Source organism: Homo sapiens, chromosome 15 (assembly GCF_000001405.40).
Source record: "Homo sapiens chromosome 15, GRCh38.p14 Primary Assembly".
Taxonomy (NCBI): domain Eukaryota; kingdom Metazoa; phylum Chordata; class Mammalia; order Primates; family Hominidae; genus Homo; species Homo sapiens.
In genome coordinates, this window is record NC_000015.10 from 87943612 (window position 1) to 87970530 (window position 26919).

At 46.4% G+C, this 26919-nt stretch overlaps 1 protein-coding gene and 1 non-coding gene across 19 annotated transcripts in view; both read right to left on the bottom strand.

The window, feature by feature from the left end:
- Positions 1 to 26919, bottom strand: part of NTRK3 (neurotrophic receptor tyrosine kinase 3) — a 396989-nt gene that overhangs the window by 83861 nt on the left and 286209 nt on the right. The window lies entirely within an intron of this gene.
- MIR11181 (microRNA 11181) lies at positions 2595 to 2657 on the bottom strand. Its single transcript, NR_162119.1, has one exon. It is a non-coding gene; the product is annotated as a microRNA 11181 (primary transcript).

Consider the following 26919-nt stretch of genomic DNA (forward strand, 5'->3'; position numbering starts at 1 on the left):
TTAAAGAGAACCAGACTCTGTTTTTCAGCTGCTGTGCCTCGGTCACATCTTGGAATCCATCCTTCTCCTCTCCTTCCCTCGGCAGCAAGAATCACAACCCCTGAGAGATTCAGACAAGCCAAGTGGGAGCAGCATCCAGGGAGTGGTTTCTCAGCCCTCCCTCAACATCCCAGAAGAGCCTGGCAGCAGCTGCAAACCCCTGGTTGCAGGAGTGGGGAAGCTGTGACAGCTGTGAGCCTTGAAGGTAGCAGAGGGCAAGTGACCATATTACTGGAAGCTCATCTGCTCTCTGTGAGCACATGAAAAAGCCCAAGCAGAAGCCTCCGTGGGCCAAAGTGTCTTCCCCAAATGTGCAAATGGAACTTTTTCCAGAATGTGGAAATACTCAGGTGCTCAGAAGAAAATAGCCTTGGCTCATTCTTGTTGTCTTCAGGGTGAAAGAATTCTGACACCAATACCTGTCCTTAGCCCTGGGTAGGGTGGTGAGTGCTGGGAAGGAGCTGAAGGAGGAATGGGAAATAAGCACAGATTTTATTCGACCATAAATTCTCCTCCAGGAAAGGACTGGTTCCTCATCATGAGGATAAGAAGCTCCACAAGGTAACCAGGGAGCTTTGGCAGAGACTGGCTGGATTTGGGCCAAACACATAAGGCAAATCACTTCCATGTGGACAACCCCATGCATCAACAAGACTGGAGACTCCAGAATACCATATGAGCAGCTTCTTTCACTGAACTTACCGAGGAAACAGTAGGGCAAAGGGAATTAACTTGCACGCTATGTATTCAACACCTACTGTGTGTTCAACACTTGATTCTCATCATAATCCTGAGAGACTGAGAGATAAGTGTTATTACACCCCTTTCACAGGTGAGAAAACAGAGGCAGGGGGTAACTTGCCAAATTCACAGAGGTAAAATGAGGCCAAAGAAGGACTCTCTTGTTTATGACTCCGAAACCCGTGTTCTTTCCTTTACCTTAGGCTGCCTTCGCTCTGTCTTCCCAGCTTTACGGCCACTAAAATGATCCAGTTCACAGAGGCTTAACCCTCCATCTTCCACTACTCAACTTTCCCTCACTCTGCTCATCCTGGAATTCTATGACAGCATCTTCCCAAGGGCGAGGGCAGGAGCCCCCGCTGGAAGCCTTACAGAACAGACAAAGCCCTGGGGAGAAGAGTGTATCTGGGGACAGAGTGCGGGAGGAAGAGCCTCTGCTCAGGCCCTGGGGAATGACTGGAGTGAGCCGTTTCACTTCTGACGTCCACGCGTCTATTTGGGTCCCTGCTTCTGCATGCTTTTAGCTCACACAGTGCTGTTCAGAGCTGCCTCTGGTGAAGCTATCTGAACTACAGGCCAAAAAGTGATGGATTTTCCTAAGAGGAGAGGGCATCAATCTCCTTTTACTGCCTGGCTGGCTGGCCCAGCAGAGTCTGGGTCACAAGGCTCAGACATGGAGACACTGGAAGGGGAGGCAGGGAGGGGGATGAATACCCCAGGCCGTGGGAAGACCTCCCAATCTCCAACAAAAAAGGGGCTGCTGGAGAAAGCAGGAGGCTGCTATGTAATGGGAAGGGTTCTTTGGAAAATTAAAAGAGTTCCTGGGACCTTCTGGCCTGGCTTTTCCCTAATTCCTTTTTGTGAGACAGCCACCAACTGGGTTCCACCAGAGGAAGCCACCTGTAGATCTTCTTGTTCCCACAGGACAACCGGTTCATCTGACACAAGAACAGAAACAAGATTTCTGTGTTTTAGTGGCTGCTCCAAGAATTCTTTCTCTGTAGTGGGGACCAAGATAACTATTCCATATGTGTGGGATTCACTTCTGGGAGGTCTTCCAGCCTGCAGCAAGCGTGACCTAGAGCAGAATCTCTAATCCATTGAGGTAACTGGTCACCTCTGGACAGAAAATCTCAGAGCCCTGAGAGGTCAGTGGGCAGGCAGGGGTTATCCCTCATCCTACCTCTGTTCCCCTTGGCTGCCCTGTGGGGCAGGAGGGGAGGTATACACAGAGCCGCTGGATACACTGACATCGCTGGACACAGAGGTGACCACTGTCAGCTTCACCTCCCTGTTCTGGGAGAATGAGGGCAGGGAGGTGGCAGGCATAAACTGCTCAGCCCTGCGACCAGGGAGGAAGAGGGAACAAAAAATCTGCCCCAAATGGCACTGCTGAAAGAGTGAAGACTGGGAAAAAAAAAAAAAAAAAAAAAAAAAACAGATCTCTATTGAAATCCTGACCCTCTTACTTACTAATTGAATCCTATCCTCTCCACACCTCTAGTTCCTTATCTGTAGAATGGGAACATGGATGTTGACTTGGCAGAACTGTTCAGAGGATGATTTAAAATTTTTAGATAATAAAGATGATATAAAATATCTAAAATATATTAGACATTTAACAGATGTTTTTCTTTCCTTTCCAATTTTCATTTCAACTAGGAGCTCAATACCTATCTTGCAAATAAAATCGTGGCTTGAAAAGAAATGTGGAGAAGGATGATGATTTTCTCCTAAAATAAAATGGCACGAGCTTGCCCAGGAGTAAGCTGGCCCTGGCTCAGAGGTCACCAGCTCTGTCTACGGCTGCCACCACCATGCCTGACCTCCTCCTCCTTCAGAGGCCAAAACAGTTTGCGGGAGGAGGTTGGTCAGACAGTGGAATAAAGACATCAAAAGGCAGAGACAGCCACCAACTCAAGATTGGCATTGATCAGTAGAGAGAAACCCGATTTCCCAGGGTCGGTGGTTATAAATAACAGTTATCCTGCTGTATGCCAAGCAGCAAATTCGGTCCCCAAAGGTGAGTGTGTGCACTCAGTCACACTCAGATTGCCTTAAAAGAAACTTGTTTGCTACCTCGGTGCTTTGGCTAATTATTGTCTTGGGGACCACGTGTGTGGACAGGACTGAGACAGTCCTTCTCTGAAGGTGTTGACTTAAGAGGCTCAGAAGCAGTCCCCTGCCACCACCAGCAGCCCTGAGGGCTGGCCCCTGGTGGCAGCTCCTAACCATCCTGCCCTCCCCTCTTCCCTGGCTCATGTTGATACTCAGTTCCTAACTAGTTCCTGTCCTCATCACTGAGACCTCACAGATCTTTCCCTTGTGGATTCCATCTCGCTCTGCACTGCTCCTTTAGCTCGTTGTTATCCCTCTGTGCCCTTATTAATAATAAAAATAACTGCCATCAATTGAGCACTTATCCTGAGCCAGATACCAGGCTGAGCACATGATACCTTTACAGCTCTGTCTTTCGTGGGTTCTTTTTTTTTTTTTTTTTTTTTTTTTGAGATGGAATCTCGCTCTATCGCCCAGGCTGGAGTGCAATGGCGCAATCTGGGCTCACTGCAACCTCCGCCACACAAGTTCAAGCAATTCTGCCTCAGACTCCCGAGTATCTGGGATTTCAGGTGCGTGCCACCACACCTGGTGAATTTTTGTACTTTTAGTAGAGATGGCATTTCACCATGTTGGCCAGGCTGGTCTCAAACTCCCGACCTCAGGTAATTCACCTGCCTCAGCCTCCCAAAGTGCTAGGATTACAGGCATCAGCCACCGTGCCCGGCCCTACAAGTCTCTTAAACACAATATGTTGCTGTCCCCGTGCTACAGATGAGGGGGCTGAAGCTCCAGGTGGTTACGTAACTTGCCCAAGATCCCCTAGCTGTTAGAGGTGTCCTGTGGGACTCTAAAGGCTGGGCTGAGCAGACTGTGCCACCTTGACATCCTTTAATCATGACAGCCCCCTTCAACCCCTGCAACCCCTACTTCAGAGAGAGGCTCTGCTTTCTGCACTGGCATCAGTACTTGGTAGAAACCAATAACATCTGTAAAGAGAGAGTGTGTCACTTTATCCTGGAACCTATTCTTCCTACCCTTGATTGCCACCACCTAAGCTCAATGTGAGCCACCAGGATGACATTTGAAGATAAAGCCAGCACCAGAATGCAGAAACCCAAGACCTTGCTGCCCCACCCAGAAACAGAGTTTCCAGGACCTCAGGCTCACCCATTACAAGGTGAGTCCTGAGCGTGACTACACGCAGGAGGGAGGAGGGAGGAGGGAGATTCTTGGCAGGAGAGAAGGGGGAAGAGAAAACAGGGAGAGGAAGGGAGGATCTGTGAGAAGCGTGTGTTTTCTCTGCACTAACCAGACCCTAGGGTCTCTGGCTGCCAAAAAGGCTCAGAAGAAAACATTAATTCAATACCACATATTTAATTACACATGAAATGGAATGTCTTTAAATGGAAAAGAATAACATTCTGGGAGCTCCAACTCTGGGTGTTTGAAGTGGCAGGAGGGAGAAAGAGGGCCAGCTTTGAACCTTTGAGGGGGAAGGAGACCACCAAGAGGGCAGGGCCCTGCCTGGGCTCAAGATATAAATTTCTGCCAGCCCTCAAAGAACTGCCCTCACACTTTCTCCTGGCCTCCTGGCTGGGTCTCACCTCACGCCTTCTATGAATGGCAAGCAAGAGGAGCTAATTGCATAAGGTATTGCATAAGAGCATAGCCAGACAAACATGTGCCCTGGCCAGCTACAGGCCCTTTGTAGGGGTCTCCAGCCAACCCAGTCAGTTCTCCACCTGGACAGAAGAGTAGAGCATGGCTAAACTATTCAAACCACCACTCCTGCAGAGCCATCCCTGGATGATTTATAGACTAGGAGAAAAAAGAGGATCTCCTGGTTTCCTGTAAAGGACCTTTCTAAGAGAAGACATTTTGAAGGCTGGAGATCTAAGACAAAAACTCTGCAGAATTTTTTTAGAGGTCTAGAATTTAAAAATTAGTAATCAAGGCCAGGTGCGGTGGCTCACGCCTGTAATCCCAGCACTTTGGGAGGCCGAGGTGGGTGGATCACTTGAGGTCAGGAGTTCAAGACCAGCCTGGCCAACATGGCGAAACCCCATCTCTGCTAAAAATACAAAAATTATCCGCACTCAGTGCCATGTGCTTATAATCCCAGCTACTTGGGAAGCTGAAGCAGGAGAATCGCTTGAACCTGGGAGGCGGAGATTGTGGTGAGCTGATATTGCGCCACTGCACTCCAGCCTGGGCGACAGAGCAAGACTCTGTCTCAAAAATAAATAAATAAAATAAAAAATAAAAATGATTAGTCAAATGGGGTAACAATGACTTGGGAATGGATTCCAGGTTGAATGACCACCAGCCCTGATTGTTCCTGTTGCTGCCCTGGGACCAGGTTGGCTCAGGATTTTTTACCTAAGAATAAGAACCTGGATCTTTCTGCTGGCCAGTCCATGCCTCGTCCCTAGGCCTTCTCTGGATTAGGGCTTCCCTCACACATTCTTTTCAGAGTTTGACATTTTTACAAAGAGGCTTTGAAGGGTGCTGGCAGTTGCACAAGTCAAAAGGCCAAAAGTCAAAAGGCATGTGTTGCTCAAGTTCGTAGGCTGGGCCTAGCACAGGGCCTGAGACCAAGTAGGTACCCACTAACTATATGATGAATGGGCAAATAAATTAAAACTCCCCCTGAAGCACTGCTAGAGACTTTAGCAGGGAAAACACTGCAAAGAGGGAGGAAGAAGGGAATCTGGGGGAGTGGCAAAAAGAAAGGAAAGATGAGTGAGAATGGGAAAAGAGCCAGGAAGTTCCTAAGAACAGACTTATTTATGTCCTGGCTCCGAGAATGGCCCGAGGAACCAAGATCGTATTGAACCAGGAAAGTACTGAGACCCACATCCTAACCCTCAGTCTCCGGCTCCCCAGACTTCTAAACAAAGTGCCTCCGTGGTCAGCTCTGAAGAAGCTCAGCAAACAGCAGGTCCCACTCTGGGGCACGTGTGCACCCTTAGGCTAGAGGTAGCAGTCTAGGACACCGAGACACTGTGTTCCCACCAAGATGAACATATAAATAAGACACCCTGCTGTTTCTGGAAGCAGTGAAGAGAGAGGATCAGCAGAGGACTGTCTGTTCTGGGGCAATTTCCAGTTCACATTTCCTGACACAAGAAGTTCAGAAGCTGAGGCTGAAGTTCAGAAGTGTCCCTGCTCCCCAGTGCTACCCCACCATGCTCCACCGCCATGAGCTCAGACACCAACCAACACCCAGGCTCCCAACATCAGCCTCCCTACCACAGTACGCCTGCCCTTTCATACCCACTTCCTGGTCTCTATATTCTGTTGGCCTTTCCCGTGGCAAGAGTGCCTCTGGCTCTCATTAAGCAGTGACTGCTTGAGCCAAGAATAAAGAGAAAAAGAACTCCCCAAGGAGAGCCATCTGGAATTGTGAAGTTAGGTGCTGAAAGATGAATCTCAGGCTCCGACTGAGAATGTGTCCCTCTGACAACTTGCTGGGCCCCCTCCTTCCTCTGCCTCTTCTGGCCTGACAGTGACAAACCCTCTTCAAAGTGCCCATATGAGGGTCACATCCCACCTCTCAATCTCCCCAGAGGCCCTTCCTTTCCAGCTACTACCCAGGAATGCTGCCTTGGCCTCTCATTCCTGGCATCTGGCTCTGTCCCCCAAGCCGTCCCTGTGATGTCATGTTCTCACCAGAACACGCAGAGCACAATGTGCTAAAGGCTGTCCCTTCCAGCACCAGAATTCTGGGCCAAGACATAGGTTGCAGGGCACTGGAGCCATGAGATGCAGCTCCATGATGAAAGTCTTGAGGTCAGGAAGAGAAACACCTGTGAGGACCACAGGGTGAACCGTAGAAGGGGAGACCAGAGGATCCCAGTCACCCATTTGCAGGACACACCATTGACCTTGACAGCTACCTACAACCATGGGTCCAAGATAAAACTGAGCTGCTTCAGGCAGAATAAGGAGAAAGAGCATCATTTGGTCTATAAAAGAGAGGCAGCAGCACCCCCCAAAATACAACAGACACGAAGAAAAGAAGAAAGGACAGGAAGGGGACCTTGGGAGCAAACACCAGGATCAGAGTAAGGGGACTGAGAAAGAACATGGCTTTGGAATGAGACAGAACTGGGTATAAATTCACACTCAAGGACACATCCTCAGAGGCCGCATTTGGCAATTTACTAAACCAGTCTCAAATGTTGTTTTCATGAGCGAAATTAAGAAAATATCCACCTCATTGACTTGCCATGAGGATTCAGTGAAATCATGTGTACAGTCGTACATTTGGAGCGTGTCGAAGGAGCTAATGCCCATAAAAGTTCGGGAAGGAATATGCCAATTTCTTCCTCTCACCTGCTCTCTGCTCAAACCTGCAAGGATTCTCCCTTATTATTGTTACGGTTATTATTAAAGTGCTTACTGCATGGAGTTTTGATATCTTTAAATGAAGAGATTAAGTGTTTAAAACAGTTGGGAGGCACACAGTAGGTGCTCAATAGGCCTTAACATAGAGTATCCATGTCTTCAGGACAGTTTTTAGTCTGATATTTGAGAATTCTGATAACCTGGCCCAAATCCCCAGGCTTTATCCTCATAAATGCATTAAATAGATCCAACAGATGGACAGGCTGGCCATCCACTGTCCTCTGAGCAACCATGTGAGCTCGTGCTGTGCATCTGTGTCCTAGCTTTCCTCCATCTGGGGTACCCGTCCCCACTTCCACTAGTAGAAATCAACCCAATCCCCAACACGGGAAATAATCCTGTGTTATCCGTAAGATCATTTCCTGATCTTCTCTTTCTCTCCTCAGAATGTCTATTCCTTATGCAAAAATAGGTGTCCTAGGACCATCTCTGCTTATTTTGTTGCCCCCTACATAAGCTCACCTCCTGGGCAGCTCAGAGGAAACCAGTTCAAAACAACCTTGCTGCCTGACTAGAGAGAGTAAGTGGTGTTGGCAAAGACCAGCATTCAATTTTTATGTGATAGGATTTAGTTATACTAAGGCATAAAATTCCAGTTCATTTGTGGACATGGGCCGAGCCCTTAGACTTCCTACATTCACCAGGTTCCAGAAGAAAAGCTTGCTGGCCTGAAGAAGTCTGCTTACCCTCATTCTTTCCCCCAGCAATGAACTTACTGATGGAAAGGATTTTAGTTAATGCACAAAGGACCCTAGGAAATGAACAGGTCACCCAGTGAGTCCTTCCACAGAGACTTGGGAGGCCTTTCTGTGGAAAAGCCTAACTTTACTCTTGCTTAAAGCAGAAGGCTCAGACACCAGAGAGAAGGTGATGCCCTGCTTCTGAAGGAAATGGAAGGCAGGCCCGAAGTCCACGGAAATGTAGAAACTAGAATCCCCATGTGGGGTCCTTAACCCTAAGGGTCTTTCTTCAAGAAAGACTTGGCCGGGTGTGGTGGCTCACACCTGTAATCCCAGCACTTTGGGAGGCTGAGGCAGATAGATCACCTGAGGTCAGGAGTTTGAGACCAGCCTGGCCAATATAGTGAAAGCAAGTTTCCACTAAAAAAACAAAAATTAGCCAGGCGTGATGGCACGCACCTGTAATCCTAGCTACTCGGGAAGCTGAGGTGGGAGAATCGCTTGAACTTGGGAGGCAGAGGTTGCAGTCAGCCGAGATGGCGCCACCGCACTCCAGGCTGGGCAACAGAGCAAGATTCCATTTCAAAAGAAAGAAAAGAAAAGAAAAGAAGGAGAAAGAAAGAAGAAAGAAAAGAAGGAGAAAGAAAGAAGAAAGGAAAGAAAGAAAGAAGAAAAGAAAAGAGAAAGAAAAGAAAAGAAAAAGAAAGAAAGAGAAAGAAAAGAAGGAAGGAAAGAAAGAAAGAAAAGAAAGACTCCTCTTTCCTCTTCTTCCTAACGTGCTTAAAATCCAGTCTAGTCGTGAGCTCCTAGGACACACACGTGCCCCCCATGAAAGGGCTCTTGCCCTTGCACAGCAGGGAAGCTCTGTTGGGCTGCTCTGGTTGCCCCATTGGGGCTTCCTGTCTTCCCTCAGGTGTGCAGTGGAGCGCTGGTGATCAGCCTCTCTGCGAACCCCCACCTCCTCTCCCTGCCCCGGGGACAGACAGCTCCCCGTCCCTCCGTAACTCAGCCCAGCTCCCACAGGCTTCCTCTGGAGCCCTTGGTGACACAAAGTTATCTTGGCCGCCGGCTCACCCTGTGCGCACTCCATTATTCCCGGCACCATCTCCTTCCGCGTGACCTCTGCATTTGGACACCGTTTCCATCAGACTCTTTTGGAAGTCTCTGAAGCCCACCCTCCGCAGACTGAGGAGACTGTCCGGGAGTCCCGAGAGGTCACGCTGGGCCCCTTTCAAGGTATATGTTCCCATTCCCCACTCCCACTCCCGGAGCCAGGGCTTCTGCCAGGCACCCCCGCCTTTCCTGCCCTACCCCCGCCGCCCCCTCTAAGCCTCTCGCTCTGGCCCTCACCCTGTATCTGATGGGGAACAAGGTCGGAGGCCAGGGCCTGCGAGTCCCAGCCACGCCGGCCCTCCGCGTGGGCAGCCACAGCTCAGCGCAGCCAGCAGATTCGTTCCGCAAGGCCTCCGCGATCCTGGATCCATGCTTCCCCCTGTCGAAGCCCACTCACTCTGCCAGGTGTTTTCCCACCACATCCTCTGAGCTGACTTCCAAGAGTTTCCCCCACACCAGATGTTAAACGCACTGGCCGGTGGTTTTCTGGCCTGTCTCCTGAACCTCTCCCACCCTACAATTCTATAGAAAACAACAAAAGAAAACCAAAGAAAAAGAACTGGTGGAATTACAAGCGCCCCTATCTGACCCCTGGAATCCCTCCCCTGGCTTGGGGGTCTTGGATCAGGTCCATGTGTGTTCACCAAGCTCCGAGTTTGCTGCCTCTCGGGCACTAGCTAAAGTCATCAGCAAACACTTACATGGATGGTGCTTTGGACCAGAAGACGATTCTTTATCGTTTTCCTGGTACTGACAGAAACTGAGTCACATAGAGAAGTGTGAGGTTTCAATGATGTCAATGTTATTTGTTCTTACTAGTCTCTGGGAAGATCCCAGACATTGGAGGTCAAGTGGTTTCTGGGACTGACGGTCAGTGGAAAATAGAGAAGGGAGAAATCTTCACTGAATATCACTAGACCTGTGCAGCTAATGAATGGCCACCTCTTATTGATAGGCCTGGACCTCTTTGGGTGGCCCCAGAAGAACCAAGGTGAGGTCTCTGGGGCATCAGCCTCAGGAACCCACATCAAACACACTCAGGAGCCCCAAAAGGAGCCATCCTTCTATGCTCTGCAGAAGGACCCCAACTCCCCTTTCTTATCAGCCTGGCGGACATTTCCTCTCTGCTTTTTCAGAAGAGATTGCTGCTTCATATGGTGACATCTACACATTGTCTGCAGGCTGTGGCCTCCTTGGGAATAGACCACTCCACTTTCTCTGCTTTCCCTGGGAACGAGTTCTTTCTAGCCCCCTTGCCCATCTGCCCCTCCTCCGTGCGGGTTATCGACCTCCATTGCCAGCCTGTTCTTTGCTGCCTTCTGCAGCTGCTCTGCTCCTGCCAGACCTTTTCAGTGTGTGTGTGTGTGTGTGTGTGTGTGTGTGTGTGTGTGTGTGTGTGTGTGTATGCTTTTTTTCTCTGAAATAGATCTTTATTGTAGGCTCTGTGGGCAGATGTGAATGACTCCTTGAGCCTCCACTGTGCAGGGTTCAGGCAAGGCCCACGGCCTGGGTTGCCATCCCTCTCCTGCCAGCTCTCCGAGAGGCCAGCCCTTGGGCTCTCTTTGTACAGTCCTACAAATTCCAACTAGGGGATATATGTGAGATGAGATGTTTCCCACACCAGCTCTTTACCCTAGAAACTAGCCCTTTCCCTCTATGTCTCCTCTCTAAGTACTTACTCATTTTCCCACTTTCAGTACAAAAAGTATGGAGGCTGAATGACCAGACAGCTATACCTCCTGCCTCCTGCAGATGTGTTTTGTGTCAATTACACATGGATATTCTCCTGTATAATTTCCCCTTATCTGTGAGATTTTGGAGCAAACATATATGAATCTCCGATTACTCCAGGTCATGACTTAGGCAGAATGAGTTAGGAAATCCAAGTTATAAAATCAGGAAGGAATTAAATATTTGGATGGAAGACCAGTCATAGGAAAAAAAAATATTATCTGCAACAGAGCAAAACCACTTGATAAATGTTTCATTGAAGAGACTTCCCCCAGAAAAGTTTCTAGCTGGCCAGGGTTTGGGAAATGGAATTTGCTGTTCAGTGCCCATGGTTACTAATTTAACATGTGTGAAAAACCATGTCATCTTTTCACCTGCTGTGCTGTCTACACTGTTTTCATCTAGTGGATGCTAAAAATAAACAGATCAATAAATAAAATCATCTATAAGTGCACCCATAAATTCCCTGACAGCCACAGCGTCTGTCTTTTTTAGTAAGTCCTTTCATTTCTCATGCACAAGTAGCACAATTCTTTGGCCATAGATTTCCCAGGAGTGTGGTAAGGAGGAGTGTGAACTATGAGACTGGGCATTCCCAGCTCTGCTACTAACTAGCTATGTGACACCAGACATCTTACTCAACCTCTCTGACATGACATTGCATTTGGGAAGTGTGATCTACTGCTAACATTTGTAAGCAAATGAGTTAATATTCATCTGTAAATCCCTTAGCATAGTATCAGGCATGGAGTGCATGCTAAAAATAAGATTCATTTCTGCTCTGTTACCCGAGGCTGCTCAGTTTGAGCTGCCTTGTGCCCGTGGACACAGAGACGAGTATAAATTCAAAGGTCCTCCCTCCTTTAATAACACACCTACTCCACCTGCCCACCTGAAGCAGGAATTTGTCTGCAGAAGTTCTGCCTGCCACTTTGAGCTATAGAGAACTCTGACTGCCCTAGGCCATAGGTGTTTAACTGGGGCCTTTGCTCAGCTTACAGAGGCTGTTTGTTATCTGCTGCACGCTACAGAGGGTCAGGAGATTTGGGGACACGGCATGGCTCAGGGAACCTGGAGGGCAGCCGACAACAAATGATAAACTCACAGCAGGTGGAAGGCACACAGAGTGACCTTGCTGAGTGCCGTTCACATTGGCATAGAGAACCCTACGAGGGGTTGAATGGGACTGCAGCGAGTTAGTAGCTCTGTGCTTGGGTCTTAACTGAGAAGAGGATGAAGAGAGCTGGAAATGTTCACCTACACCAACGCCTCTGAGTAACCCTTGCTCCAAACTTGCCAACAGGCACGACCATTGGCCCCATTCCAGCCCCCTGCCTAGTGGTACTGGGCAGAAAAGAGGCCAGTTCAACAAAGGAGATCGTTGTTGACGGTGATGGAAACCAAGGTGCCAACCAGGGCTCTCCCACTTATTTGCTGAGGGGTCACATGTTGGTTCAATCCTTTTCATATTCAACAAATATGCATTAAACTTTATAGTGTGTGTCAGGAACTGGGCTAGGGTCTCCAGCAGGGAATAAGAGACTCTTCTCGTCCTCCTGGAGCTCATCGGTATAGAGAAGAGGATAGATGAGTCACCCAGGAAATTTGAATACATTGTAATAAGCCCCGTGGTGGGACAAGGAGAGGACCCTGGGGTACTGGGAAGGTGTGTGTATCTAGATCTGGAGGGGTCAGGATAGACTACCTACTCTCCCTGGGCCTCCATTTCTTTGTGTATAAATGGGAGAATATATGGAAAAATGACTTGCAAGCAACAGTCAGATGGAAACTGATTTTTCATCTTCCAACAATAGCCATAAAAATTTAAAAGTGCCCAAATAACATACTGCAAGTTACTCCAGGTACGTACAAAGTGGGCTGTTCTGGTTTTTGTTGTTGTTGTTGTTTGAGACAGAGTCACTCTGTCACCCAGGCTGGAATGCAATGGCACAATCTCGGCTCACTGAACCTTTGCCTCCCAGGTTCAAGCGTTTCTCCTGCCTCAGCCTCCTGAGTAGCTGAGATTACAGGCACGTGCCACCACGCTCAGCTAATGTTTGTATTTTTAGTAGAGACGGGGTTTTGCCATGTTGGCCAGGCTGGTCTCAAACTCCTGACCTCAGGTGATCCACCCGCCTAAGCCTCCCGAAGTGCTAGGATTACAGGCGTGAGCCACAATGCCCGGCCTTTTTTCTTTTTTTGAGATGGAGTCTTGCTGTGCTGCCCAGGCTGGAGTGCAGTGGTGCAATCTTGGCTCACAACAACCCCCGCCTCCTGGGTTCAAGCAATTCTCCCCGCTTCAGCCTCCAGAATAGTTGGGACTACAGGCGCCCACCAACATGCCTGGCTAATTTTTGTATTTTTTAGTAGAGATGGGGTTTCGCCATGTTGGCCAGGCTGGTCTGGAACTCCTGACCTCAGGTGATCCACCCGCCTCAGCCTCCCAAAGTGCTGGGATTACAGGTGTGAGCCACGCTGCTCTGTTTTTTAGGGCAGGGGTGGGGTAGTCATTTAGGGAAACACTGTCCAGAAAAGCCCACCTTGTTCTGGTTATCGTTTATCAATTCTCAGGGCCGTGACTAAGACATCTCTGCACTGGGGGCGGAGCAGTGGGTTGTATTGCCTCCTCACCCAATCCTCTTAGCTCCAGCCAACCCCACTCAACGTGACCCATGGAGCCAGACTGTCTGGGATCAAATCCAGCCTACACCAATCATTTCACTCTGAGATCTTAGAAAAGTTACCTAACATTTCTGGTCCTCAGTTTCCTTAGCTGTAAAATGGTATAATAATACTAGAGCGAGCCTGCCTCATACAATTGTTTTGCATACAAATGTGTTAGCATGTGTAAAACACTTAGAAAAAATACCTATTAGGTAAGCATCAAGTCTCAGCTATCATCACCATGGCAATTGTCTTCATATAATTATCACCAAGAAGTACATTATTATGACGCCTACAGTCCCACAGCGGGAGCATCTACACACTACATCCCTGTGGGACATTGTGTGGCTTCATTAAGAGATTGGGCTGGACTCCCACCCAGGTTCCACTGCCCCTGGCTGTATAACCTCTTTGAGCCTCAATCTCCTCATCTGCAAAATGGACTCATAAGATGTCCTATAGCACAGTGTTGTGGTAGGATTGCATAAGATCCTATATGGAAATCATTTGGCACAGTGCATAGGGAAAAAAAGGAGCTCTTGGAAAATAGAGTGGCTACACTATAATTACGTTAACACAGAGGAAACAAATGTGCACTGTGAATCCAACTGTAGTCACTTCTGTAAGGTGGGGTGACAGACTTCACAGAAGTGAGAAATAAGTCTTTTTACTGCTGCCTCTGCTTCTCAGAGACTATGAAAGAGGACTGAATCATTTTAAGCTTCTACCAGTTCTTTGTGCTGCTGGAAGTTACACCTGAAGTCGGTGGCCCATTGTTTAGCAGAGCACATTAATTAGTCTGTGTAAATTCAAAAGTAGGCTCAACCTGGGAAAGGAAAGAACTAAATTGCTCTGGACCTTAGAGTGTAGTGGCTGAATTCCTCCGAGGAGAGGAACTCAGGTGACTTAGGAGAGAACAAAAGGGAGCCTATAAGCTTGGGGGTGGCCTGTTGGTGGGGTGGCTGGAGGTCTTTTAGAGCAGAAATGTCTACCATGTATTATATGGGAGTTCGTGTTGATTCATCATAAACTTCCCACGTAATGCTAAAATTACAGCAAAAGCCGCTCCACACACAATTCCACAAATTAGTGATTTCAGGGGCATAAAATACTGCATAAAAGGCGTGTTTCACATACAGGATGAAGATTCAGAAGGGCAGTGGCATATATAGGATGCTTAGTCTGTCTGTATTGACCCACCTCAACAAAAGCGAGAACTCTGATGATTTCAGGAGAAGAGTAAGATAACTTCAGCCCACCTCAACTCTGAGCATCCTTAGGACGGAATGTCTATTCAGGGTGGAGCTCCAGTGATTTCATCTGAAGGATGCTCAGATATCATCTGACTTGTGAAATCCAGCATCGTTGTCCAAACCCCTACTTGGCATCTCTGCTTGTGTGTCTAGTGGTCTTTCACGTGTAACACAGCCGAAAAGAACTCTTGCTTCTTCTCCTTGAATCTGACCTTCCCCAGGGCGTCCCTATGTGGTAAGCAGCATTCCCATTCACTCAACGGCTCAAGCCCCTAGCCCAGGAGTTTTCCTTGATGACTCTTTCCTGCAGTGCTCCCAAGCCCATCAATAAATCGTGTCCACTCAACACCCAAGCAATTCTCAAATCTGTCCACATCTGCAATAGACCCTCTGCCCCTTATCCTGCTGGCACCATCCTAGCTCAAGCCACGAGGCTCTCTCACCTGGGCAGGGGTCTCCCAAACTGAGCTTCCATTCTTCTCCCACCCCTCTCTTCCATCCCTCACCCCAACTCTGGGACATGGTCGGCTAACCCAAGTCATCTTTAAAAAACTGTAAAGTAGGAACCTTGATGTTCCTCCCCTGCTTCAAACCCAAGTTAAGAGTAACAGCCCAATGCACTCTATCATTGCTTACGGAAATTGATTCTGCCTAGCCCTCTGAGCACATCTTCACTGCCCCCACCCCCGCTCCCCGCCCCCCGCATTCCCTCTCCACTCTACCCAATGCCCTTCCTTCTCTTCTGAAACATTCCAAGCTCAGGGCCACCTTAGAGCCATGACAGCAGCCACTACCTGTCTGTGAACGCTTGCTCTCCAACCACTCAGTGGAAAGGAGTCACTTCTAGCCTAGCACACTGTTTCAGTTCTCATGGCTCGAACTGCCGCCGTCGGATAATTATCTTCCTGACTTATTTGTTTGTTTATCATCTGGTCCCCTAGTGGGCAGAGCTCTGGCTCCTTGCGTCTCCATCAGTGCTGTACCCAGCACCTCCGCCACCACCTGGTAGACAGTGGTGCTCAATAAGTATTCGTTAAATAGATGAGCGGCTGCCTTTCTGGGTTTTATTGTCATTACTCCACAGGCTCCTGTGACTCTCTGGAAACATCAAGCGAGAGCTGGAGATCCAGCACCAACTGAGATGGCTGCAGCTTCAGCAGATCCGAATTCTGAAACCAAGGCAGGCGTGCTAGTTATTAAATCAGGGCAGTGCCCAACAGGACATCAATCACAGCTCTGAGTTCATATCGAGCTTAAGACGACAGCCATCTAAGCATAGATTCTACCAGCAAATACCTAAACGTTTAAAGTTATTGAAAATCAGAAGCTCGGGTCTCGATCTTCATGGAACATCCCAGCTGCTCCTCAATCTGAGGCCCTACGCTCAAGCTAGAGCTCCATCACAGCATTAACTCATTAAAGGATTGACACCAACACAAAAGGGCCACGGAATCTACTGGAAAGCCCTCAAATATGTGGCAGTTTTGTAGGCTCTGTGACTCTCTTCATGGGAACGGCTAAGAGGGAGCCAAATGTGGAAGCTCCGTCAGTCTCTGGGACACTGTCCCAAGGCATCCTTGCATGGAGCCAGCATATCTTGGCATGGCCACCAAGTTGAATTCTCAGACATGTGGGAAACTGGAGATGAAGGAGGTTGCCTGCTGCCTTTCCCCAGCTGCATCCTACTAAAAAAGAAGTGGGGAGCAGACCCCAAATTTAGCTATGACAGCCAAAATTAAGTGTGTAGAGCAGTTGAGTTCAGCCAAAACTCATAATGGTGAAAATAGGAAGTGCTCTGCCTCCTTCATGAAAGACTATCTGTTCATCAGTACCTTGTTTGGGTCCCTCCTCGAACAAGACTAATCCAGGACCTCCTGTCAAAGGGACCAGAGCACAAATCTCCCAGTATAAATGGACTAACTCTCAGATGAGCTAGGGAAATAGGAAGAAATTCCCTTATTTCCCTCTGTCTTCAATTCTACTTACCTCATGTTTATTTTTCATCTTACATGAATTAATAACTCTTCTCTTTCTTCTAAGGTTGTAAAGCTTCCACTCAAGCTTTTATCTCCTTTTTTTTCCATCTACTTTTTGGATGTGGACCCATCTAGCACCCGTCTCTCTTCACTACTATAAACCCCTCTTGCCCACTGACTTCTCACCTACAGAATAAAGCTTCCCCCCATCCTTTTTTTTTTTGAGGCAGAGTTTCGCTCTCTCACCCAGGCTGGAGTGCAGTGGTGCCATCTCGGCTCACAGCAACCTCTGCCTCCCAGGTTCAAGGGATTCTCCTGCCTCAGCCTCCCTAGTAGCTGAGATCATGGGTGTGTGCCACTACACCTGGCTAATTTTTATATTTTTAGTGGAGATGGTGTTTTGCCATGTTGGCCAGGCTGGTCTTGAACTCCCGGCCTCAAAGAATCTGCCTGCCTTGGCCTCCAAAAGTGCTGGGATTTCAGGTGTGAGACACTATGCCTGGCCTCCCCCATCCTAATCAAAGTATTTCCTTGACCCGTCCTCCCCTAGAAATTACTCCTTTGTCTGCCTTCATCACCAGACTCTGATGGGTAGTCTAAGCGGCGTGCCATATCATTCTTCTGCTTCCCAATCATTTCTCAAGCCTCATTTCACTCTCACTTCTACCACTTCACCCCCCTGACTTTACCTGTTATAAAGTCACAGTGATCTCTGATGCCCAGGCCCAACTGCTTTTTCCTAGTCCTCATTCAACACAGGTGAAGTTTAAATCCTTCACAGTCTGACTAATGCCTACCTGGCCTCTCTGATCATTAGCAGCCTTGCATCTGATGAGATGGGGTACTCACTTATCTCGACAGACATAGGTATGATCAGGATTCTGAAATTCCAGGAAGCCCAGGGCATATGGGTACTTATCACAATGTGGTATATGACTTCCCTGTGCACAGCCATCTCCCTCTGAATCACAGACCAGGTTTGAATCCACCATGTAAACCTGATGCATAGCCTACACTTGGCATTAAGTTTAGAGACTATCATTAAACTGTTGACTGTCATTAAAAGAAGAACATATGCCACCGATCCCTAAAAAACTCAAGCTAGCTATGTGGGTAGATTTCCAAAGAATCTGGAGACACTCCTTCTAGGGAGATTTTTTAAAGTCGCATTTAATTGATGCCTTAGCTAATAACTTTCTTAAATGAACAAATATTTTTTGAGCACCCACTTTTCTGGGCACTGTAGTATTAGCAGGTTTGCCGATTGGCATACCAGCTACAGCAGGAGCTGGGGTGGGAGATGGGAAAGTTAATCAGGCAGGAAGTAAGTCAGGTCTGAAGTGGGCTGCAGTGGCAAGGCCAATTCCTGAGGGTGCAGTCTGTCCCCTAAAAGCTCCTGCTTTCTGAGCTGCAGCAGGTCCTGCCCAGGGCATGCCCAGATGGGCTAAGCAACAGATGGACATTGGTGTGTTGGTGAGAGCACCAGGCTTCCCTTTGGCCTAGCCATTAACCCCTGATTCAATCCACCTATAACTGCTTCTTCTCAACCCCATTGCAAGGAAAGCAATGAGCAGGTGCTCAGACTTCTTTCTGATGCTGTATTTCCTTGATTCCAACTACCCCTGCTTCCAGGAGCATACCAGAGAGGTGGGCCACACATGGCTGAGTGGACTTCCAGAGCTGGCATCCATTGTCCCTCTCTCGGCCTGGCAGATAGGAAGGGCCAGCACCCAGGGATCTTGGAATGCACATGGCATCTTGGCAGCCACCTCTAACAGATGACCAACAAACAGCTTGCTTGGGCTGTAGGAAGTGACACAAACCTAATTGCACTTATTGGTTTCAACTACAATGCTCCTCCCACACCCAGCTTTTTTCTCCCTTCCCTGTTGCCATTGGATCTTGATCCCTAATATCATCACTTTATGCTTGTCTTGCCCGTGCATATGTTTGGGCTCTTTCTGCATCATCTGCTCTGCTGTCTAAAGACCTTTCCTTCCCCCAGGACTTATCTTCAGCAGACAAGAGCTCAGGAACCCAGAAGAGGAGAGGAAGAGGATATATTTCTCCTGCCTGACCATCTTTGGCCCCATCCATGCTCACCCCTAGAAAGACACTAAAGACCCTGTTTGTTAGAAAAAGAGGAGGAGAGGTGTTGAAGCCACAGCATGGGCTTTGCTGTCACCGCTGAGGGCTGCTAGAGAGAAAACATGGCTATCACTTGGCCTCAAAAGCTGCAGATTTAGATAATCTCACTAGCAATCTCTCCACCCCTTCAGATTTCCTGTTGCTATTTCCTTGAATTCCTTCCAGCTGGTTGACTTCTCTCCAGTTTGTGCCCCTCCCTTGCCTGGAGCCCAGATCAGTGGGTTGGCTGGAAATGCCTCTCTCTGAATTGTCTGTGGCCTTTTACAGCCAGCTTCAATCTCTACTGCCATGCCCCACCCGATGTGTTCCAAGGACGCCGCCTGCTTAAAGGTCAGAGCAAGAGGTCAGGATACATGGGTACTACCTCCCAACCCTCACTCTGACCTTGAGAAAGTCATGGCATCACGCTTGGTTAACCCTCTGCAGGACATAGAGATTAGAGGCTTCATTCAGAATTCCATTAACATTTCTGGACTGTGCAGCTCAGAATCCCCAGCCCTAAAATGTGGCAAGGCTCTGGCCAGAAGAGCCCTTTGGGGAACAACATTATGTGAATGTTGGCAACATCTTGATGTTACCTGAAAAAAGATAATGACCTCTGCATTCAACGTGTTGCATCTTTGGGTCTGAAGCAATAATGTTTCAGAAGGAGATAGCTTTCCACAGTCAGCTCTCTGTTACAAGATAGCTGTCCCTCAGGAGAATCCACTGGATACCTGCTTGGGGGAATCCACTGGATACCTGCAGTCCTCATCAGAGGTAGCAATGCAGTGACAGACATACTATCTCTGATGAGGGCTGCCACTGAGCCATCTCCCTTGTTCAGCTTAACCACCAAGAGTACCTAAATACTTGTGCTGTTTTTCGTAAGAATGGAAAAATAAAACAATCCAAGTTTTCAAACACAGGGGACTAGACAAATAAATCTGGTATGTCCACACAGTGGAGCATGACACAGTCATTAAAAGTCAAGCCATGACCCTCTGTTTATTAAGACTGTGGGGAATCTCATTCTCATATATGGACAGTCCCCCACTGAACGATGGTTCGACTTGGGACTTTTCAATTTCACTATGGTGTGAAATTATTCTGCTTTTCACTTTCAGTATGGTATTCCATAAATTACATGAGATATTCAGTACTTTATTATAAAGTAAGCTTTGTGTTACATGATTTTGCCCAACTGTAGGCTAATGTCAGTGTTCTGAGCACATTTAAGGTAGGCTAGTCTAAGCGATGATGGTTGGTAAGTTAGGTGTTATTAAGTGCATTTTCAACCTGTGATATTTTCAACTTATCATGGGTTTATCAGGACATAGCCTCATGGTAAATTGAGGAGCATCTGTATTACTCTTGGGGTACACATTGGTATCACCCCATATGGCCAATATATACAAAACAGATATACCAAATAGCTTATAGGGGTCATACGGCTTTATGTTAATATTATATTTAGGTTCAACCACATTTATTTAGTTTCAATATATTTAGGATCAATCCATTTCCGTGTTTTATAAGAGCAAACTGTTGTGAAGAAATTAAATAAATTTGAGTACATCAATATAACAGGATAGTATGGATCTCTAAAACAACAATGAGGGAGTTCTCTAAGAGCTCCAAGAAACTGGGGTGGGGAAGGGATTATCCTAAAAAGTGCACAATAGTATGTATGACACAGCTGCAGTTGTACAAAATAGAGAAAAAATAAACAACATACATTTATATCTGTTTGTATATAATTGGCTTAGATATAATTCATAAGGACACTCAATAACAGAGGTTACTTATCTGGTAATGGTAGCGGTGCTAGGAACAACTTGCCAATGAGGAACAGGTGTAAAAAAGGGGAGTGCTCTCATTTTATAGACAGATAGATCAATCTGTAGCAGTAATTTGGATAAATAATGATAATACTTCAATAAAGTTTACATATATTATATATGTTTAGTTTATATATTATATATTTACTATGTATTATATACAAGCATCATTGAGTTCATACATGCAAACTTTATTTTACATATTTATTATATAACTTATTTTGTATATATATACAAACTTTATTGAGACATTATTTTACATACCATAAAATTCACCTATTTTAATGTAAAATTCAACAACTTTTAGTAAATCTACTGAATGGTATAATCACCAGCATAAACCAGTTTTCAAACATTCATCACCCCAACAAGAACCCTGGGTCCATTTATAGTTAATCCCTGCTTCCAACCCCAGCCTTAGGCAGCCACTAATATAATTTCTGTCTCTCCGTATTTGCCTCTTCTTGACATTGCACACAAATGGCATCATAGAAAATGGGATGTTTTGTGTCCAGCTACTTAGCATGTTTCTCTGAGATTCATTCATGTTGTAGCATGTGTAAGTGCTTCATTCCTTTTTATTGCTGAGTAGTAATCCATTCTATGGTTACACCACATTTTCTTTCTCCATTCACCAGTCAATAAACATTGCGTTTTTCTGCTCTTGACCATTATGAAAAATGCTGCTATGAACATTTCTGTGCAAGTTTGTGTGTGTGTATATGTGTGTATTTTTTTAACCATGTGGTGAATATATCACTTCCACAAAAATTTTTAACATTGCAAAAGATCAGTTAAATTGCAAATGCAATCTTATTTTTAAAAAAAGGTAGCAAAGTAATGTGTATGTGCATGTGCACGTGGAATGATTTGATTCTGACAAATAAGTACATAAAAAAGATTAGAAGGCAGAAAGCTGAAATGTTAACAGTGTTGTCTCTGGGTGATGGGATGGTGGATAATTTATGTGTTTGTGTGCTTTTCTGTATTTCACTGAATTTTCTACTGTGAATATAAATTACCTTTGTAATCAGAAAAAAGCACAATGTTATTAAAAGAAAAAAACTATCCTTCCTATTCAATTTCTCCAGGGTCTTTACCTTTCTGTGACAGAGAGATATTCTCACAATAGTCCACAGATGGGGAGCCGGGAAGGGGCAGCCCCTCTCTTTCCTTTATGATGCTGGTCACGGCATCCAGAAAGCTGCAGATCCCCAGTAAATACCAGTCAATTGTGGAGACCTCGAGATCAGTCTCTATGGCAACTGGGTGGGCCTGTAAGAGCATTGCCCCAGTGTGGAGACTGTCCAGCAGGAAGAACCTCCACAATTGTGTACCTCAGGCAGCCCGAGGTCACCAAAGGACCGTGGTGTTTATTCACCAGGCAGTGGAGTCAGGATTTCCAAGGCTTGAAGGCAGCTCTCTCTAAACAATGGAAACTTTAAAGTCTTAACTGATCATTTTGATTATGCCATTCTTTGAACTGCCATTTTTATTTAAACATCTGCAGATCAATATCATGATTCAGTATTTTTAAGAACTCCATTAGGCTGAGCAAGGTGGCTCATGTGTGTAATCCCAGCACTTTGGGAGGCCGAGGCAGGTGGATCACTTGAGATCAGGAGTTTGAGACCAGCCTGGCCAACGTGGTGAAACCCCATCTCTACTAAAAATACAAAAATCTGCCAGGTGTGGTGGCGGGCACCTGTAATCCCAGCTACTCGGGAGGCTGAGGCTTGAGAATCACTTAAGCCCAGGAGGTGGAAGTTGCAGTGAGCCGAGATCACACCACTGCATTCCAGCCTGGATGATAGAGCAAAACTGTCTCAAACAAACAAACAAACAAACAAACAAACAAACAAAAAACTCCACTTGGGAACTAGGTGTCTTTCCTCTATGTTTACCTCTCCCATAATTTCATCATATTGCTTCATAATTACTCACTTATCTATACCAGGCCTATTCCTTACATTTGAAGGACTTGGGACAAGGGAATAATTAGAAGCACACACACATGTCTAAAATTTGGAAGTTATAAATCAAGCTAACACACTAATAAATAAGGCATGTCTTATCCTCCTGCCCTGCGAAATTGATCTTCAGGATGACCTGAAGGACCAGGTGACTTCCGGTGTCTCTGGTTCCTCAGATTTGCGAGTGGAGACACATGGTGCTAAGGAGTTGGCCCCTGGCCTGTTCCCTTCTCTTCCACCCCCATCTTCCATCCCACAGTGAAAGGGGTCTCGCGTACATATGTGTGCACACTGAGCCTGCAACTCCATCTTCCTCTAACCGTCCCACCCTGACACTCTCGATGTTCCCACTGCCCCCACACAGTAATCCTTTGGCCAACTCTTGGGCTTAGCAGTACACGTACCTGCAGCGTAGCCCACCCTTAGAACAGATGAATGAAGAGACCCGCATGTGTCCTGGAGGCAAGCTGAGAGCTGTTTGGGTAAGGAATTCTGGTTTAGGAAATGAAACATTGTCTAGAAGGGAGGTGGGGTGCAGGCTCCAGATGGTCCCTTCTCATGGCCCTAGGACTTTTGGCAGCTAAAGGAGGGCCCTAAAAAGTGGGGAGGTCCCCTCTTACCCAAGACTAGTGAATACTGGACTGTATTGTCTCTAGACTGGGGTTTCTCAACGTTAATACTGTTAGCATTTGGGGCTGGATCATTCTTTCTTGTGGGGAGCTGTCAGAAGCACCCACCCTCAGTTGTCACAACCAAAAATGTCTCCACACATGTCCCTTAGGGGACAAGATCACCCCCAATTGAAAACCAGTGCAGGAGACAATAAAGCTCTTGATGACAGGAAATACAACTGACTCACTTAGTAGCAGAGTGTGTGGCACAGAGTGGATGCCCCAAATATGTTTGAAGAATGAGTCAATTAAGCAACATTTGCTCATGATCTCAGAGGTATTCCTTGAAAGACCCTATTCCGGTGGGTTTGTGAAATAATCCCACAGAAGGGCAGTTCTTGCTCCCCGGGGTATAAATGATGAACAGGAAGAGGCATGAACACTGTCACCCACTTAGGACCTCATGATGAGACAGGTCCCTCTGCTGGGTGGTGTGCTGGGTGCTATACAGAGTTAACCTAAGGAAGCTCCCTAGACATTAAAGCATTTCATAGTCCAATCTTCCTATACCGAAGCTGCCCAGCTTAGGAGAAAGAGGAAGGAGGTGCCAGAGTGTCTAAACTTAAATAGGCACTCCCATAGGTCCTGGCTAGAGCACTGCGAGCCTCACATGTTCCTTAAACAAGTCCAAATGTGATGCACAATGAGAGCTACAGTGCAATGAAGGGATGCCCAACCAGCAAGGTGCTGCTTATAAATTCTCTCATCCCATGCCATTCATGCCTCCTGCTCTCACCAATGGGATTTTGTAAATCCTGTTCGTGCTGAGTCTCTTCAATCAACCAATAATGTTTACTGTGACATCAAGCCCATGTTCTTCTCCAGAGCAAGCAAACAGCCCCCACTCTGTTTTCTTATAATAGGTGAAGTCTTTCTTGTATATTTTCCACATTCCTAGCAACTGAACATGCATGGTTGTAGCCAGTTTGCTTTAAGTCAACACCCATGGGGCAGTCAGTGATGTCTGAGTAAAGAAATGGAATTCTGATGGACTTCTACACTTGGATCAAAGTGCATGACTGGTAGATTTCCCTGGCTCCAAAGGGACTCAGGTTTGATTTCAGAATCTGCTTGTGCCTGTTTTCCTAGAACAGCAGGTCTCAAAATGGTCCAAAGGTCCCTGGTGGGCTCAAGACCCTTTCAGGAGATTCATGTGTCAAAACTATTTTCCCAGCAATAGTAAGATAGTGTATGCCTTTTTTACTCTCGTGTCTCGCAGGTATTATTCATGAAGTTGTCCAGTGGTTTCCAGACATGTGATGATGTCATCATCCTGACAGCTACATGGAATGTGTGTGTATACTTGAGCTTTTAAATTATACTCAGTTTTAATTTCAAATGCAGTGAATATGATGGATATAACCCACAGAAACAAACATCATTTGGGGTTTCTATGACTTTTAAGTGAAAAGAAGTCCCAAGACCAAAAACTTTGAGAACCACTGCCCTAGAGCAATGGTGCTAGCCTAACTTCTACATCACAGCAAGTAGGGAGTGGAGGCAAAACACTTCAAAGACTTCTGGGAGGTAGAGTAAGTTAGTGAGGGTAAAAATATGTACACGTTCAGAGTTTTATAACAGGAGTGTCACTGTGACATTTTAACTGCAAAATGTTCTCCAGGTTCTTCAAGGTAGAAAAAAAAACAGGTCTAGGAAAGAAACGAAAGTATTGATATCTTCAACAAAAGCAACACCTCCTAAATACAATATTGCTTGTTTGGAGCTCTACTGATGATCTAATTTGCAGTTTGACTAACCTCACCTCACCACCCCTAAACTGACCAAAAGTTGACTCCATGTGTTTGCATCTCCCAGAGTATTGTCAAGGGTATGCAAAAACAATTAGGAGAGTGACTAAGAGCGTGTTTGTACCATGTGTAGAGATGGAAGAGAGAGCATGTGAAGCTTGTGATTCTAACTGCAATTTGGGGATTATTGGTGAATTTCAATTACCCATGCTATAGAATCAGGATATGATTATCAACATGAAGCATTCATTTTATCACTGACCAAAATAAACAGATGAAAGAACTCATTCCCCCCAGCTTTACCACCAATCCTTCAATCAGTTTTTATTTAACCTTTTAACATTTCTTTACTTCTTTTATCTCCTCACATAACATAGATGCTATCCCCCCACCCCCTGCCAGGTACCAAGGTATTTTGAACACAATGGAATTATCCTTCCTATGCCCAGCATACTCAGAAGAGGCATAGGACAATTGCCTTCATCTTTCAGAGGGAACGAATGAGAGATGAAATTCACCTTCCCAGATTGACATGGCCAATTGGTGCCCAGGCCCAAACGGAGATGCTTCCCACTCATATCAGAGCAGGGGCCTTCCGAATCCCTGCTTGAAGAGGCACAGGCTGGAAACACCCACAGGGGTGGAAAGAGTTACTGACGCGTGTGCCAGAGTCCCTTTAAGGGAAAGAGGTAACTCCTGCTTTGTGCAAATATCATTTCCAGAAATTGCGTCCCCCAACTCATATATTGAAGGACATGAATTTTCTTGATTAAAATAATGATAATAGCAATAATAAGAAGAATAGATAGATAGATAGCTCAAGTAGAGCTCAACAGCATGTGACTAATGAGAAAAGTTTTACCAGTTCAAGGCTGGGGCAGCTAAATAATGGCCATAAACTATCATGTGAAGCCAGGCTACTTCTCTACAGCCTGCTTACATCTTCTGTGCTATAAATAATTCAGAGTTTTCTTTTTTCTTAAATATCACAAAACCAAGTCAGAATCTTTATGTGAAGGATTCTGCTGTGTCCCTCTCTCCCTCCTCCTCTCCCTCCCTAGCCAGCCCAGGCAACTCCCTGGAGAATGACCCCTCAAGCTTTAACATTTATACTTTGACATTTCAGACTATTTGTTAGGCAGAGCTGCCTTCTTGAGATCAATTTCAGAAAATCTTGCCGAGAACTCCCGCTTGGCCTTGTCCAGCTGTGACAGAGAGGGTCTATTAACCCCCAAGCATCTGCTTCCACCCTCATCCAGAGAAATCCACTGATCCTCACCCAAAGGGGCAGCCATCTCTCTCACTCAGTTTGCCTTATACACAACATATTCAGAGAGAGAGAAGGACCAGGAACCAAGAGATGTCCTCCACTAAGAGACAACAGTGACTCATGGGGACATGGTATTTGGGGCATCTGTCCAGGCAGGGTCTTTTACATGAGGATCAGCAAACTCTACTAGCTACTCAGAGACAAATATGGAACAAGGAAAGGTAACTTACCCCATGTCATTTTGCTAGTGGTAGAGTTGAGACTGGGATCCGGGTCTTCATTGCTGTATGCTACCACTAGATGATGTCACCTCCACCAGCCTGGGCGGATGGCCAGGTTTAATGCTGAGGTCTCAAGCTCTTATGTGAAATGACTTACCATTTTCTTCTGAGATATCACAGCGAAGGTTTCCTGATCTTCACAAGAGTGTCTATCCATCAGCAACCAGAATTTTTTCTGACTCTACGTAGAAGGCAGAAGTGAGGGCTGAGCCTAGAGCTGGGTAGCGTGCTGGGTGTGGTGGTTTCTTGATATAAGAAGTGGGTGGTTGACGAACACATCCTGCTTGATTCTTCTTTAAAAGCTTCTGATCACACTATAACCCAGTGTTTTCTAACATGT